The following is a 17,817-nucleotide window of genomic DNA, read 5'->3' as shown; positions in this document are numbered from 1 at the left end:
TGCCCCAAGACTAAACATTCAGGAACCAATTAGGCCTGAAGTCAGGAGTCACTTGTCAATAAAAAGATTTTGAAGGCTCAACTGACAGGTATTTTTAAGTCCATCAGCCCTTGGGGAATAGAAGAAAGAACTTTTAAAATCTAAGTTATCCTTCATATTCATGGGCCTACAAAATATAAACAAAATACTCATTAAAATAGCATCCGAAACCAGTAAAAAATAACCAAAATATCCCAAAGCAAAAATCATACAGAAGAAAAATTATTAATTTCTTTTAACTTCTCTGAACACCTAGTCATTGATTTCTATGCAGTTTTTCTGACCTTACACCTCATTACTGCCTGATTTGCTATTTCCCGCAAAAGAAAATGCTGCCATCGAAGAATACTCCACTGCATGCGTGTGGTCCCTTAAGTATATGGTTTTCACAATTTTCGGAGAACTTTATGACTCCTCTTGGATACCTGGACACCATGAGATGCTGTAAACTTCAGGCTTGGGATCCCAAGCAATTCAAGACACTTTCAGAACACAGGCAACAGTTCAAATTCCAGCGGGTTTTAGAATCAGAGTGGGGTTTTTTTCCTTATCTAAAAAAAGAAAAAACATTAGAACTGCTAAAACCACTAGCCATCTTTCATTTTCTGTACCATTTATAAATTCTTTTGGTAAGAAGGAAAAACCTTATTGTCACAGTACAATCTTTTCAGCCCCCTAAAATTGCTCAAAATGTAATTAGGATGAATCGAGCTCTACTGTTTTTCATTACAGCAGACCCCCTACACACAAAGGTACTGATAATGCACCAATATTAGAAGGTACTCTATCTGATACCAGATGGAGCATGCCTTCATCATTTTATAATATAGATAAATTGAATGGCTGATTTTACTGAAGCCTGCCATTGTCAGTTTAGACCAGCTGCTGAAGATTCAGATGTAAAACTCCTCAATGGGGGACCTGAAGTCTGATCAGCCTTCCTAACAATGCAGAGTTACCTGCCAGTTATCCAGTATTCTGGCCAACAGCAGACTGAGTCTCCAATTGCCACAGAAGGAAAAGCATAGGTAATCAACCCTAAGGAAGCTCCTAGAGGCCAGAATTCCCTATCCTACCTGGTCTACCTTTGCATTTCTCAAAGTACCTATGATGACAGCACACAAGCTCTACAGAGCTGACTGAGACTCTGCCCTTGCTGACTGTTGCTACATCCCCAGCACCTAACACCATGCTAGGCACTCAAATATGATGACAATCCACCTAAAAGGTACTCAACTCAGTGGCTCATGCCTGTAATCCCAGCACTTTGGGAGGCCAAGGGAGGGGGACTGCTTGAGTCCAGGAGTTGGAGATTGGCCTAGGCAACATGGTGAAACCCCGTATCTACAAAAATTAGAAAAATTAGCCAGGCATGGTGGCACACACCTGTAGTCTCAGCTACTTGTTGAGGCTGAGGTGGGAGGATCCCTTGGGCCATAGAGGTTGAGGCTACAGTGAGCAAAGGTCGCACTACTGCAGTCCAGCCTGGGCAACAGAGCAAGACCCTGTCTCAAAATAATAAAATAAAATAAAATAAAATAAAAGGGTACTCAAGAAATATTCCTGAATCATCAGAGTGCAGCCTCTATGTGGAAGTACCCACGTCACTGCCTCCCTTCACTTGGTTATTCCTATCCATAGCTGTGGCAGACCCACTTCTGTCCCTTGGGAGAAAATTTTTGGAAGAAACAAAAGGAAAAAAAAAAAAAGAAAAGCTAGGATAAGCCACTTTCTTTTCAAATTTCTCACCCATAAATTAAATTCCTCAAGGGGCAAGTCCATGTCATCTGATTACTTCGGTAGTCCTCAGGCACATTTCCAAAAATGTTAGTGGGCTGACATACACAAATCATTTCTTTTTGGTTTTTCCCTTTCTATATCCATGCCTCTGAGCTGCATGAAAAAGCCATTTTTACGTTTCATAAAACTGCCTCATGTCATACTTAACTGGTCTGACCATCTTTTTATATTGTGTCTCAAGTCTCCATCCCCAAAACCCATTCACAACATCCTCTAAGGCAGGCTTCTTTGTTCTGTTCAGCTAATACCTGATCATTAGGACTGTGAATTAGGTATGGAAGACAATATTTTTCTAAGTTTTGAACGGAGGTGGAATAGCATGTGGATATAAAACTTAACTTTTACCTACTTCCAGAGTTGACATTCAGCCCAAAATACAGACACCTCACATTTACCAAGTGATCTCCCAAATCGAAGTCGATATATATCTCTACCCCTAAAATCACAGGAATTCCTCTTCGTTGTCAGAATCTCCTATTAACCTGTCGGCATTTTCTCTTTAAGTTCGTCAAAACAGGGCCTTAGGAAATATCTGAGAAGCCTCTTTTATTCCTCTTGGCCAAAACATGCTGCCGTGTGGGTAAAAAGTTGTAATGGGAGAATTGGTACAGATATTTGTAGAGTGGCCAGACTTAAAAATACAGGATGCTCTGTTAAATCTGAATTCCAGATAAACAAATAATTTTTAGTTTAAGTATGTCCCAAATAGTGGATGGGCCACACTTAGGCTAAAAAATTATTTGGGGCCGGGCACAGTGGCTCACACCTGTAATCCCGGCACTTTGGGAGGCCAAGGCGGGCGAATCATGATGTCAGAAGTCTAAGACCAGCCTGGCCAACATGGTGAAACCCCATCTCTACTAAAAATACAAAAATTAGCTGGGCGTGGTGGCACATGCCTGTAATCCCAGCTACTCGGAGGCTGACGCAGGAGAATTGCTTGAACTGGGACCTGGGAGGCGGAGGTTGCAGTGAGCCAAGATCGCACCATTGCACTCCAGCCTGGGCTAGAGAGGGAGACTCTGACTCGAAAAAAAAAAAAAATTGTTTGGCATTTATCTGAAATTCCATCTTAACTGGGTGCCCAATATTTTATCTAGCAACCCTATTTGTGATAGAAGAAAAAAAGGTTAACCCATCAGTGAGAAAGCAAGAACAGTGAGGCTTTGAATTGTAATGGTGAGCAAGGGTAGCAAAGATATGAGCAACAAAACTGAAGGAGCTGAAATAACTTAGAATGCTGCTAAAATATTCCTGGGGGAGAAGGGCAGCGGGAGATGACCCCGAGAACCATTAATAGAAAGTGAAAAGGCCAGCCAGGCACAGTGGCTCATGCCTGGAATCCCAGCACTCTTGGAGGCCGAGGTAGGAAGACTGGCTGAGTCCAGGAGTTTGAGATCAGCCTGGGCAACATGACGAGCCCTCGTCTCTACAAAAAATAAAAAAAAAATAGCCAGGTATGGTGGTATGCGCCTATAGTCTTGGCTACTCAGGAGGCTGAGGTGGGAGGATCGCTTGAGCCCTGGAGTTTGAAGTTACAGTGAGTTATCATCGCATCACTGTACTCCAGCCTAGGCAACAGAGCAAGAGTCTCAAAAAAAGAAAGGAAAATGGAAAAGCCACTGGCATGAAACAGTCTCAAATGTGCCACCACAAGAAATTGCCTAAAGTATTGAGAGGTGACAGCGTGCTGGCAGCCCTCGCATCCCTCACTTGCTCTCAGCACCTCCTCAGCCTCAGCGTCCGCTCTGGCCACGTTCGAGAGGTGGGCCCTTCAGCCCACCACTGCACTGTGGGGGCCCCCTTCTGGGCTAGCCGAGGCTGGGGCCAGCTCCCTCAGCTTGCAGGGAGGTGTGGAGGGAGAAACACAGGCAGGAACCGGGGCTGCGCACGGCGCTTGCAGGTCAGAGTGAGTTCCAGGTGGGCGTGGGCTCGGCAGGCCCCGCACTCTGAGCGGCCAGTGGGCACCGCCGGCCCCGGGCAGTGAGGGGCTTAACACCCGGGCCAGCAGCAGCGGAGGGTGCACTGGGTCCCCCAGCAGTGCTGGCCCGCCGGCACTGCACTCGAATTCTCACCGGACCTCAGCTGCCTCCCCGCGGGGCAGGGCTCAGGACCTGCAGCCCGCCATGCCCAAGCCTCCCCAACGAGCGCCGCCCCCTGCTCCATGGCACCTGGTCCCATCTACTGCCCAAGGGCTGAGGAGTGCGGGCACACCGAGCAGGACTGGCAGGCAGCTCCACCTGTGGCCCCAGTGCAGGATCCATTGGGTGAAGCCAGCTGGGCTCCTGAGTCTAGTGGGGACTTGGAGAACCTTTATGTCTAGCTAAGGGATTGCAGATACACCAATCAGCACTCTGTGTCTAGCTCAAGGTTTGTAAATGCCCCAATCAGCACTCTGTGTCTAGCTCAAGGTTTGTAAATGCCCCAATCAGCACTCTGTGTCTAGCTCAGAGTCTGTGAATGCACCAATCAGCACTCTGTGTCTAGCTAATCTGGTGGGGACTTGGAGAACCTTTACGTCTAGCTAAGAGATTGTAAATACACCAATCAGCACCCTGTGTCTAGCTCAAGGTTTGCAAATGCACCAATCAGTGCTCTGTGTCTAGCTAATCTAGTGAGGACATAGAGAATTTTTGTGTCTAGCTCAGGGATTGTAAACGCACCAATCAGCACCCTGTCAAAACAGACCAATCAGCTCTCTATAAAACAGACCAATCAGCTTTCTGTAAAATGGACCAATCAACAGGATGTGGGTGGGGCCAGATAAGAGAATAAAAGCAAGCTGCCCAAGCCAGCAGTGGGAACCTGCTCGGGTCCCCCTTCCACACTGTGGAAGCTTTGTTCTTTTGCTCTTTGCAGTAAATCTTGCTACTGCTCACTCTTTGGGTCCACACCACCTTTATGAGCTGTAACACTCACCACGAAGGTCTGCAGCTTCACTCCTGAAGCCAGCGAGACCAAGCACCCACCAGAAGGAAAAAACTCCAAACACATCTAAACATCAGAAGGAACAAACTCTGGACACGCTGCCTTTAAGAACTACAACATTCACCGCAAGGGTCTGCGGCTTCATTCTTGAAGTTGGTGAGACCAAGAACCCACCAATTCTGGATACAGTATGTACTTAAGAAAAAAAATCCCTTTAGCAAAGATGAACTCAGAAAAATGTGGGCCCATTTAGGGCACAGGGCCTATGCTGCTGGCACTTTGCTAGTCTCTTACACCAGCTTACAGCACCTCTAGAAGATGACTCCAACCTAGAAGACCCATCAGAGAAGGTGAATGCATAGCCCGGATGTACTCAGCCATTAAGTGCGGGCTAGGGGCTGCACTCAGCCTGTCTGAGTTCACAGCTCTTGCTCTTTCCCTCACAGTGTGTTTTTTTGGGGGGATGGGGGTGGCAGTGATAACTGAAAAAGTGTCATGCTGTCTGGGTACTCATTACATGCATTCTTAGTCTAATGTCTAAAGTTGGAATCTTTACCCCTCCCTTCTGTTCCACAACACTTCTGCAAAAGAATGACTGGAATTTAACGTTAACTAAGGGAAAAAATATTTTACCCATGTCCCTGGAGGTAGATTTTCTTTCTTTTTTTTCCCAAACAAAGCCCTACCAAAAAAAAAAAAAAAAAAAAAAACGCCTCAATAAGCAGAGAGACTCAGGGGCATCTGGTAATAATAATCCTATTCCTTAGTGCCCCAAGAACTCAGTTAGGCAGCGACTATTTTTATAAAACCTGAGACTGACAAAGCAGGGTGGGTCTTGTTTATACCTGGAGGCCCCCTTACTGCTCCCTGTTCAATGACAACTCATGGCAGCTATTACTAATAATGGTGATGAAAACGGCCCACATTCACTGTACTTATTTATCATATTTATTTCTGTGTGCACTGGGTGTTGTTCAAGACTTTGCACTAACTAATGCATTTAATCCATATAACAATCCTAGCAGGTAGGCAGCCTGTCCTTCACTTCACAGATGAAAAAACAGAGGCAAAAAAAGAGATTATAGAACTTCTCCAAGGTCAACCAGCTGTTAATGGAAGGTGTCGCTAGTCTACAGCTACCATCTTGAGGTCATGGTGGAACAAGTCACTCTGATGTTACAAACCTAGCGCCATAAACTGTCCTGAATTGGCACATAAATTTTGTGGTTCAGACAAAGAACTGAAGATGAGATGCCATGTTCCCATGTACATCTTGGTTGACACACACATAAATATATGTAAGGCTGAACCAAGCCCTCATTACACTAGAATCAGTGAATCATCATGGGGTTGAAGGAGAATTTAGAGATTACCAGAACAGATTTATAAAACCACGCCAAGTAACCACGGTTTCCTAATATTCTTAAAGGGTTTAAATAGTTGATGGCAAAGAAATCTAAGGATGGAGGTAGTGGTGAGTCATTAAAATGTTTACAATTTTAATTTTCTTTTCCATCTTACTTTTCTCTCTTTTATTTTTTAAAGTGAGGCAACTGCCAGCATACAAGTTTCATAGCCTGAGTACATTCTTTGTGTAAATAAAATTTTTTAAATCATTTTTACATATGTTAGACTATTTTTAGCATCGTAATCTTAATTTTTAACTTGAATTTGGGGTTTAAAAGAGCCTTTTATTCTTTAGGTTGTCCAAAAGAGATATATCTATAATTTACTAATATTAATCATACTTCTCCATATACAATATGGCAGAGGTAAACCTTTTGGAAAAACGTGCCCTATAAAAGTTCTAATGTACTGTAAGAACAACATAATGAGGCATGCAATGTAAAAGAGAAGTTATATTAAACTCCAGTTTCTGAAATGCTCAAATTCTATTTATCATAATGTCACTAATTCACTGTGTAACCTTGAACAATCTACTTTACCTCTCTGGGTCTCGATATGTAAATGCAGATGTGTCTCATCTGTAAAATGGCAGGGTTGGGTTAGATCACAGTTCCCAACTGGAATGCCCCAGGACAGCTGCGCCAAGGTTCTGATGCCCATCAGCCCTCAGGGGAGCTGGACACAGCCTAGGCTGGAGTCCTCAGATCCACTACCTCCAGCCAAGAGCAGTCATTTATTTCCCCAGGGTGTGCTGTGCACCTTTTCAATGTGTGCCATGATGTGAAAATGGTTGGGAAACACTGGATTAGATGACCCTGAGGTCCATCTTAGCTCCGCCATTCTGTCAGTCTTCCCGAGATTTTAAGGCTTCCTGAGATACTGCCCATGGCCAACTGTTATGTGGTTCTATAAACTGCAATGTAGGGCACAGTGCTTTATAAACAATATAAAACAATATTTCTTATTATCTTCATTTGTTATCTATGCTCAGAAAGTTAAGGTACACTGTAAGGTCCTAAAATGTTATATAAAGAAAGTAACTTATATTTTAGCAGGTTTTTTTGTTTCGTTTTGTTTTGTTTTAGACAGAGTTTTACTCTGTCTCCCAGGCCAGAGTGCAATGGTACGATCACAGCTCACTGCAACCTCTGCCTCCTGGGTTCCAGAAATTCTCCTGCCTCAGCCTCCCAAGTAGCTGGGATTACAGGCACCCGCTAACACGTCCAGCTAATTTTTATATTTTTAGTAGAGACGGGGTTTCACCATGTTGGCCAGGCTGATCTCGAACTCCTGATCTCAGGTGATGCACCTGCCTGGGCCTCCCAAAGTGCTGGGATTACAGGCGTGAGCCACCGCGCCCAGCCTAGCACCATTTTAATACTAACAAGGTGGTGGTATATTCTGATTTTTATAAGTAATTATGTTATGGCATATTAACATAGCTATTAATCATTCCAAAATTCTGCTGAAAGGTTATAATGACAATTAGTTTTCTAATTCCCCACATGCACTCCACCCCATGATTTAGACAAAACAATCACAATCAGAGAATTAAAATGTTAGGAGTCAATGAAAAGTAACCCCTTTAGGAAGTCAGAGAAAACATCATTTAAGCACCTTTAATGTATATAGTGTTTATCTCAAAGTAAAGCAAAACCAAAGGGCAGAGAAAGTCTACTTCCCCCCGCCCCTGCCACTAAATCTGGTTTAAACTAATAGGTTGGAAAGTTTGAAGCACATCATTCCCAGAAAGATGTAAATAAGCAGAATAAAGCTGGGAGAGGGAAGGCGGTAATGCCTGAGGAACTAGATGGGCTGGCATATGAGGGACCAGTTAAAAATGGAATCTCTGTGGCTCAGCTAAGTGGGCACCGGAACTTCTAACCATATACACACCAGGGATTGAGAAGAACAAAGAAGGAAAGGAATTATCAGCAATTCAGGGGTCACAGGGAAGGGGAAAAATAAGGGAAGAAAGCACTGAAGGAGGGAGATGGAGAGGAAGACCTTTGGGGTCAGCTGCCCCAAGTAAGAAGGCTACTCACTCACTCTACAAACAGGCCTTCTGCTCAAAGCTTCTTCCTCACACCTGAAACCAGCCTTGAAAGTAAGCACTGAGCAAGAAACCTTGGAATGAAAATATCCCAGGATATTTCCATAATGTGAAATGGGTCCATGTTTGCCGTTTTATTTTTGTTAGATTCTTAACTCTGACAGCCATAGCCGTCACTCGTACTCATGGAGTTTTTAAATGTAAAAATGGGTACAGGTTGGGATTTGTTTTAAATAACTTTTCTTATTTAAATTTAACAAATTCTTAACAGTAAATTTGAATGAGGCGGAATATTATAAATAAGCAAATAAAAATTACCTGTAAGTCAATCACCAGAGATAATTACTAATAACATTTTGATGTGTTTTCTTCCATTCATTTTTTAACATACCTATTGAATATTGACTGGGAAGGACGAATGGTTCACTGTGATGTCCAAAATTATCTCCTCTTCCATGTAGCTCTCACCTCTTGAATTTAAAAGTAAGACAACTCATTATCTAAGAGTGCATTGAGAGTGATTTGTGGTACTATTTTCCTTGGGAAAAACAAATGGCTGCCCTTGGGTGGAAGTAACTGACCTAGGGCCTCCACCCCAGCTCTGTCCAGCTGTCTTTAGGGCCGAGGGGCATCAGAATTTTGGCACAGCTGTGCCGGGGCATCTCAGCTGGGAAACTGATCTAACCCAACCCTCCCATTTCACAGATGAAGACACTGAGACCAAGAGAGGTAAAGTAGCCTGTTCAAAGTCACACTATGAATTAAAATTTGAGCACTTTAGAAACTGAAGCCCTATATGACTTCTCTGTTACATAAGATGCCTCATTATGGTCTTCTTCTGGGATATTAAGGATCATAAATCCCCTTCACAGGGCATATTTTTCCAGTTTTTCTCTCTGCCATTTTTTATATGGAGAACTGTATGATTAACAATAGTAAATTACAGACATATAATTTATAATTTTGGACAGCCCAAAGACTAAAAGGTTGTTTAAAATCAAACAAAGATTAAAAAACAACATTATGAAACTAAAATTAGAAAGACTATTTTTATTTTGAAATAATTAACTCTAGTCTTTAAATAGTAAGTTTCCCCAGTATATGTAAAAACCAAACCATTTAAAAAATTTTTTCTTTGGAATTTATTTTAACATTTTTCCTTTTAGAAAGTGTTGAAAATCTAACCATATTGTTATGAGCACTGAGTATTTGCATTTTCTAAATCTTTCTTAATTTTATGAGAGGACAATGAATACCGTGTGTTTTTTCTTTTGACATTTTTCTGTTCTAGTGATCATTATTAGTTATTTGTAATTCTTCAGTAAAATGAATACTGTTATGTACTTAAGTTGAGCAATCACTTAGAGTTTTTGGCTTTTAGGCTTAAAAAAAATCCTCTTTCTCAGAGATCAAATTTTCTCCACATTTTTTTTCTCGCTTAGAGCTTTAAATATATATACTTAAATCCAATCCGTATGAAAGATATTTTGGTGTGTCACCAAAGCAAAGATATAAATAGATTTTTTAAAATACCCAATTTCACAACCCCCTTCATCAAATAATCTGTTCCTTCCCCAACGACTTATAATTAAGTTATTCCATACGCTAAAAAAAGTTTTGAAAAGTGCTATTTTGTTGGATTATTTGCATGTTTTTATGCCCACATCATCATCTTTTATCAGCACTTTATAATGTGTTTTAATATTTGGTAGTAGAAGTTTCTGCTTCATTTTTCTATTATAAATATATCACACATGTAGATATATGATATAATGTAATATACATAGTCTTCCAAATGAACTATAGAATCAGTTAAAAAACAGGCTTTTTGTTTAATTGATTTTTGAAAACTATATGCGCAGATCCCTTAATACCTCAATTTTCTCTGGTAACTTAACATTAATTCTTGCACTCCATTCCAAACATTCAGTGCCTTTTAAATGCACCCTACAGATCCATCCCAAATATGTTGATTCCCAGTTCATCTGAAGACCCAACTCAAAGCAGCTTGGTTTTAAGACTCAACAAGTCTAACTCGGACTGGTAGGTTATGAGACCCCCTTGAACAGCCTGCACGAAGAGGCCCTGGGACTTGCCACTTACAGAGCACGCAGGACCAGATCACGTAGGGTTCTGTGTGCCACAGCAGTACGGCACTGGGGAGCCACTGACGGGCATGTAAGTAGGAGAATAACATGATCATATTTCTGTTTTAGGGGCAGAGAGAGAGAGAACTGTGCAAGTGGAAGCTAGATCAGTGTCATGCACCCACCAGAGGCAGGGAGAGGATTAGGAGTCTCCTATGATGTCTGTCTTACAAGAGCAGTGATAAGGGCAGGGGTGATAGAACAAAGAATGATTCAAGTGGGATTTATGTTATTGCAGTGTTTCCCCTATAGCAAAATAGGGTGCATTCAAACAGTCCCAAGGCAGAAATAATGAAGCTCCCAAACCTGTCCCTAAGCACGGTCTCTCTTCCCACCACGTCAATAGGCAGAACGTGCCTGCCCTCTTCCCCCTGTGGAGTGCAGTATTTACTAAGCACCTACTATGGATAGGTCAGGCACCATGCTAGCTGCTGAAATAAATCCTGGATGGGTCAATGCCAAAAATTAGCAGGAGACATGGAGAATGAAGAATATGACTCTGACATCCAAAAAGAGAGCCAAGTATTGGGAACAAGAGTCACCCAGACATTGGGAACAGACTGTTGTACAGAGCTACCACCTCCCTAGAGGCTACTTACCTGTCTGCTCCAAACCAGTGGCCAGCCTCCGTAACTCCCCTGCAGGTCCGAGCCTCCCCTGCACCAGAAAACAGTACCACTGGCCTTGTTCTACCAATGGATCGTCAGGGGAAAATCAGGAGCCCTGGCCACAGCTACACAGGGGTCAACACACAATCCAAGTTTTAGTTCCCTGACTTAACCCTTCAACGCTTGGTCTTTGAGGAGTACACCAAGTATTTATGAAGGCCCTTAAAAACTGTCCAAAAAAAAAAACCAAAGGCCTCTTTTCACTTTTACTAGCTTGATTCTTTAATTTTCACCCAATTCCTTCCTCCTCAACAGTGGTTTCCATAGTTCTCTGGGTGCAACCTGCGTTGGCCTTCCTGCAATCTGGAAAAGATCTTCTGTCTCCCTGCCTCCTTGAAAATAGGCAGACATTTGATCCACTTTTTTAAACTTCAAGGAGGGAGAGAAGAAGTTTCTGTAACTATAAAATATTTGGTCCCTCCACTTACTGGAAATATGCCACATAACAAGAAACATGAAACAAACAATCGTATAACAACTGGGTGGTTTTTGCAACCGCTTTAAGGAGATCAGCTTGGTCCTTTTTCCTATGTAAAAGTATTTGTGATGCTTCATTACAACAAAACTTCAAGTATTAGCTTTATAGAGGCCTATTTAAATTCAGAATCACAAAAAATCAGTACATATTCATAGAATTCTAACTTCCTTATGCCCATAACAAACATAGGTGCAAAGCCACTTTGGGGAGGCCCACAGGACCGAAATATCAGGAAAAGAACCACAAGGCTAAAACATACCTGGCCCTGCACCATGCCTGGCCCGCACATCCAAAAGCCATGACTAACTCTACCATTTGACGGTTAAACTTGAAGCCGTATGCTTAGCTTTGATAAGCCTCCATTCAAGGTCTCTGGGACTGACTTTGTTCATTTTTGAAACAGGTCAATGATGCCTACCCCACAAGGTTCCTGTGCGGCCCCACCCTGACAATGTGTGGAAAGTACTCTGTAAATAATGTCGTCCCAGACCCTTTTCCGGAGGCTTTCATTATCTTAGTTTTCTTCCTGAAACCGCCCCTTTCAACTACATGAATTTATGGTCTTATTCTGATTTTATATGTGGAGAAACTGAGACCCAAGCAGTATTTTTTCCAGGAAAAGAAAACTCCAACAAATTAAGAGATGCCCTCGGAGATCAATAAAGACTTGGGAATGCAGTTTGCCAGTAAGGTAACATCTTGGACAAGTCCTTTAACCTTTCCGAGCACCAGTCTGAGTTCAACTCACCAGCCTGGAGGGTAGACAAGCTGAAGAAGGTTTTGTCACCAGAGAGCTCTAAAGGAGATGGCAAACACTGGAGGAATTGGACCTCATATAAAGCAGCAAGGGCAAGAACCTTCTCCATGCCCCCAAGCAACGCACAAAGTAAGCCCAGGCAGGATGGGGTGCAGCCTCACTCTAATGGGAAGGGGGCTCTGATAAGGAACTTGTCCAGTGACCTCAGCATGGCACTCCAGTGCCACTGGAAAACAAGGCCTGCAGGTGGAAGTGAGCACAGGTGGGAGGCAGCTGTTAAAAGAGGAGCAGAAAGGAGACTACAGCAGCACCAAATGGGGTGGCTTCCCAAGGCCAAGCACAGAAGCTTCTCTAGGACAGCCAGGATCAAGACAGTGCCAGTTCCTGCCCTAAGTGATGTCACACATCAACCGGAAGCCTCATCACAGAGTGGGAACGGACAGCCTTGAACATTTCAAGAACACTTGGGCACAGGCCGAAATCACACCTGAGGTTTGCATGCAGAAGAGAGGGAGAGCAGGGCTTCCAATCATTCCTCTGGAATGAGCTGAAAGTACAGACTACGATTTTACATTATTGTGACCCAATTATTCCAGTATCTTCATAGCTCATATGGAGATCCATGTAACCCGACAAATAATGGCCAAAGTCTTGTCTCACTCAAACTGGTTCCACAAAAAACTGCAACTGATAAACCCTCAAACCCCACATCTTCCCAAGATTGAGCAGTAAACCACACAAAAATATAAATAGGAACCACCCACTAAAGTGCACAAATGATACTATATTAGGTCTCATTGAACAGCCCAATGAAGCCTGCAGTATTTATTAGGTGGAACCACAGCAGTGCTCTGACTTGTATTGGAAAGGAGAAAAAAGGAGGAGGAATGATTTCTAAATATGACTTCAGCATGTTGATAATAAGCTTTCCGGCACTGGTTCATTACGCCAGCCACCCTGCAATCATTAACCCCAGGTAGCAGTGGGGGAGCTAGGACAAAGAAACCCACTGCTTGCCCAAGGAGATTTCCTCATGCTGCCTTCAACAACAACTTTTAGGAAGTCATAACTCCCCCTTCTGAAACCAGAGGAGTTGATACCCTAAACTGGAATATATAACTGAAATTAGTTCTGACCGGTCTTAATTAAATCTTTGTAGCCAGTTGTCAGTGTGCTTGAGATTTTTCAAAATCTCTCTCTCACATGCTCAACAGATGTGGGTGGTAATCAAAGCCAAGCTGATCGGAGCTGCACAGACAGCGAGCAGCAGCTCCCCCAAACGAAAGGTCAGCCATGATAATGACATCCCCAGAGTGATGTATGTGCACGTTAAGAAGTTAAATCTCATGAAAAGAATGTCCAATAAAGCCATCAATTTTATTTTAGGTTCATCTGGCTGCAATTTCTGCCTACAGTCATCTCACTCCAGGAAAAGTCAGCACCGTGCAGGCACCTGGATTCACTTCGGGGTCTCTGGTATATGAACTATGACATTCCACACATAGTTTCCCAACGCAAGTACTGAAATATCTGTGCCCTACTTCTTAGCTCACTGTCTGTAAAACATTCCTTGCCCTTTGATGTGAAAGAAAAATACTCCACTTTACAACATTATCCTGGACTGGACTTCTTTTTTGAAAGAAGCCTAAAACAACACCACCATTGTGGCCACCCTGAGTGTCTGTGGCAACAACCAGAGAAGAAATAATCTTAAAGTTACCAACACGTTGAGCAACTTTACACCTACCTAAATCCTACTCCCCTGTATGATATTTTAAGGGAAAAGAAATCATTAGCAGAATTTCCCACAATTATCTTTGAAAAAAAATCCGCGTCTTTTTTTGGATGGATTCTTGTACCAAATACTTAAGCATTCCTCTGTCTTTAAAGCACCAGGGTAATCTGTTATTAAATGCACGTTTAAACCAACGTTTTATAACCTTGCTGCTGTTTTCAATGAGTCTCCGCCTCTTCCTACCAGGCATTTTGGGCTATAATAGCAGTCCCACAGCCACCTCCTACTGAATAATTATAATAGTGGGCCAATTAAACTAATCACCTTTCCACATATTTTTATCCGGCTTACAGATGTAAATCTCCCCCAGAATGCCGAGAATGAAAGGTTCCTCCCCAATAGCACCTAGGACTCCAAGAGTTACCCCTGGCAGAGATCCCATCCATTAGGGGCAACCTTAATGCTCAACCAAAACTAGTAAGTAACACATTCAAATATGCGATATTCATATATATTCACCACACACTCATCTTTCCTCTTCCAAGAAATCTAAAGGATTCATGAACTACTTCCACAGTACAAAAGTTTAACTTCGTGGTTTAGCTTAAGCAGCAAAACACCACCAAATCCTCTAAAAAGCAATTACCAAGAATGACAGTGCTGAACAGTGCGGGATTTTAGATGCTCAGCAATCCACTGTATGCATTTTTTGAAGGAAAAAAGATTTTAAAGAAAGATTTCAAATTCAGAGGTTTATCACTGTTGCATGAACCATTTACTATGGAGCAACTAACTGAATTAATAACTCCTCGGAGAAATTTTTCTTGATGACTCACACAGAATCTTCTGGCTCTGAAAGGGAGGATACGTTTCCATCCAAACGCCAAGTAACAAGCAGTGAAAAGGAAAAATTCCAACCCTAGGCAAAAGCAGCAGGTGGGAAATACACTCATTTGTATAAAGCTAATCCAGAAATAGCCATTTCCCCTTTCTAGATAAAGCCACAACCTGAGGAATGTTACTTCTTCTGGTCAGGGTGACAATTTGGAAGCAGTTCATGGACCAGATTTATTTTACACCTTACATCCTGAAACTGCTCTATCTTGTTCTCTAAAAATCCAATTATATAACTTAATGACTATTTCAAATATGGATCATAGATCCTTAAGCTATTTCCCTTACCTTAGTAGTTCAGTGATTTTCCCCAATAGTTTTATAATACATCCCATAAACTAGAATAACTGTCTACAGAGAAAATCACTTTTAGTTGACTCCTCTGATATCAGCACAGTACAGAGACAGCTTTGAGAAAGTGTTTCTCGATAGGGTGAAGAGACACTGCAAGCAATTGGGGACAAAATGGAGGAAAGGATTAACCACCATTTCATACCTTCCTTCTTTTTCCGAAGTAGCCAAGACTATGTCTTTAGTGAAGAACAACAAAAATAATACACGGCGTTCCCTTCTGTTCTAACTTTTCTCCAGCCAGAGGAGAAAAAAAAAAAAATAGGTAACCACTTGAAAAATTCTCTTTCAGGCAATATGTACTTCAAAAGCTCATCCAACAATAAATAGACACAGGCATGTCCTGATTAGGTTACTAAATAAAAAGCACTTCCCAAGGCATAGCTCTAAGGCAAGACTTTTTTTCCTACTTGGGACCTCTTGTCCTAACATGCACTCCAAGCCTTCCTTTCCCCTTTATTTACAGCTATAGATATAACCAAAATCCCAGAAAAAGAATAAATGCAAACAAAGACATTCCACTATATCTCAATAGGGCATCCTAAATAAATAATTTTCACTTGAGTTTTGCAGAAAGGATGGTAGGACTACAGAAAAAGACACACACTCAGCTCACACTCAACCTTTAAAAATAAAGCAATTTAAAATCTCATAATTAAGAAGTATAAAAATACATCCCAAATGTACTTGGAATTTTAGTGAATTAGGCCATCCTGATTTTTCTCTTGGTTACTCAAAATGCTTTAGGTTGACAATGTTCAATAAGTACCCCCATATCAAACAAAACACGAACAGCTCAATCTTTTAATTGAGCAAAAAGAGAAGGCACACATGTTTTAGTGATACGCTTGGATTTAATGTGTTATTTCCTACAAGAAATTAGCTCCCCAACCTTTAAAAGGAAGAAAGCTGAGGATCTTGTTACAACCGCAAAGCAAGGAAAATGCTCAATACCCGACACAGATGTGAAATAAATAGCAACATATTACTCTCAAAGAACTCTAAATAGACATATTTTTTTGACAGAGTCTTTTGTTACCTGGACAGCCTTAGGCTCAAAGACCTCACACACTTTTCTTACAACACAGATAATGCGAGCCCACCTACCTTCTCCAGACTGGAGGCCATAAATCCTCCAAGGCTGCCCTGATCCAGACATCGCCATGGTTGAACAAAAGAGTTCATTCCATAAACATCCTTCCTTGTTTTCAGAGCAGTCTCCCTAGATCCGAGCTTTCCCTCCTAACACCTTCCCAGGACGCCTGTTCTGCCTTTATGAATCATACATGGTAGCTACTGGAATGATCTATTTACCTGTCACTTATTAAGACTTACACACTAATAAAATGTTATTTGAAAGAAAAATCTGAATATCCCTGGACAGTCTATAAGAAGTGATTAACACATAATTCAAAAATGCTTTTGGTTTCCTCTCAGCGCAGTTTTCAAAAATACACAACATATTATTTATACGAATGTGAAAATCATCCCATTAGGGATGTGGTGCTGCATGAAACAGCTTAGCTGGGAATGAAGACACCTGGACTTAAGTTTTGACTGATTCTCCTTGGGCAAGTCACCTAACTTCTCTGAGCCTCTGCTTCTTGATCAATAAAATGAAAGGGTCTTAAAAGGCACTTGCAGTTCCAAAATTCTACAATCCGTTTCCTTCCTAGATTGTTCTCTCAAATCCAGTCTCCCAGAGCTCCGCCTTCTTTTAACCTCCATATTGTTTTGGCTTTTGCCCCTGGGTGTCCAGGGGAAAAGTCCTTTGTTTAGAAGACAGCCCTGAGGTTCCCCCAGGGGCACAAGGGTTAATGCAGGTCTCAGGATGTGCATAATCAAACTCAGACAGCAGCTGCTGAGTTGCAGCTAATCCTTAGAGAACTGCATCAGACCTCCTCTTTCTCTCACAGTGAAATTGCCTGGCACCAGGCCTGTTCCGGCTGTTTGGACCTTATGTTTTCGGCACATTGCAAACAACATCTTCTTGTGGATTCAACTCTCAACACGCCAATGGGTTTCTCTGTTTTGCTTTTTCTAGCTAGCTCTCCAGAAGCAAATACTTAAAACATAAGCACACACCCTGTCCACAAGCTGAACATCACATATAAACAGCTTGGGAATGTGAGGAGAGGCTCTGGAAAGGAAAAGGCAGTAAGACTCCCTGTAAATGAATTATTACTGCTCCTCTAATCACTTTGACAATCAATACTTCAAGAAACAGTAAGAGTGAGTGAAGCAGCAGAAATCACCTTTAGAAACTGCTAAATGTATAGATCTCACGCTAATTTCTAATACTAATCTGGTGTTCCCATAAAGTCACCACCTTTCTCTACTTCAGTTCGATGGCCCTTGAAAGTGACAATTATACTGTGTTTTCTTGGAAATATAATGTGACTAACACCCTAGCTTTAGTAAAATGGATTCTATTTGTAGATTCAAGAGAGCTTTTTACAATATATACTTTTAAAAGTAAAAAGTTGTCACTACAGTTTCATTGGCTGGATTCTTATATCAGCTCTACCCAACAAAAGTCATCTTGTTCCAGGAAGTCCCG

At 41.9% G+C, this 17,817-nt stretch overlaps 1 protein-coding gene across 3 annotated transcripts in view, besides 2 other annotated features; it reads right to left on the bottom strand.

Moving 5' to 3' along the window:
• Window positions 1-17,817, bottom strand: part of SDC2 (syndecan 2) — a 117,978-nt gene that overhangs the window by 73,901 nt on the left and 26,260 nt on the right. The window contains exons 1-2 of one of the 3 annotated variants that reach the window (XM_024447228.2): window positions 8,619-16,440; window positions 465-590 (exon numbers count right to left, since the gene is read on the bottom strand). The exons of 1 other annotated variant lie outside the window; for it this stretch is intronic. The gene's annotated coding sequence lies outside the window, so the exon portion shown is untranslated. Of the gene's footprint in view, window positions 1-464; window positions 16,441-17,817 lie in introns of those variants that run through there. One more of the 3 variants, XM_047422076.1, reaches the window with a different exon arrangement.
• Window positions 16,701-17,201: an enhancer, noted in NCBI's record as "NANOG-H3K27ac hESC enhancer chr8:97532917-97533417 (GRCh37/hg19 assembly coordinates)". NCBI's record gives its function as "activates a minimal SCP1, AML or CMV promoter by ChIP-STARR-seq in primed H9 embryonic stem cells {active_cell/tissue: H9 hESC(primed)}" and the evidence as "EXISTENCE:reporter gene assay evidence [ECO:0000049][PMID:30033119]".
• Window positions 17,215-17,509: a silencer, noted in NCBI's record as "tiled region #5310; HepG2 Repressive non-DNase unmatched - State 14:Gen5', and K562 Repressive DNase matched - State 9:DNaseU". NCBI's record gives its function as "represses a minimal TATA promoter and a strong SV40 promoter by Sharpr-MPRA in HepG2 and K562 cells {active_cell/tissue: HepG2 | K562}" and the evidence as "EXISTENCE:reporter gene assay evidence [ECO:0000049][PMID:27701403]".

Source organism: Homo sapiens, chromosome 8, assembly GCF_000001405.40.
Source record: "Homo sapiens chromosome 8, GRCh38.p14 Primary Assembly".
NCBI classification, from domain to species: domain Eukaryota; kingdom Metazoa; phylum Chordata; class Mammalia; order Primates; family Hominidae; genus Homo; species Homo sapiens.
Note: the sequence above shows the minus strand (reverse complement) of the source record. Positions and strands in the feature narration are given on the sequence as shown.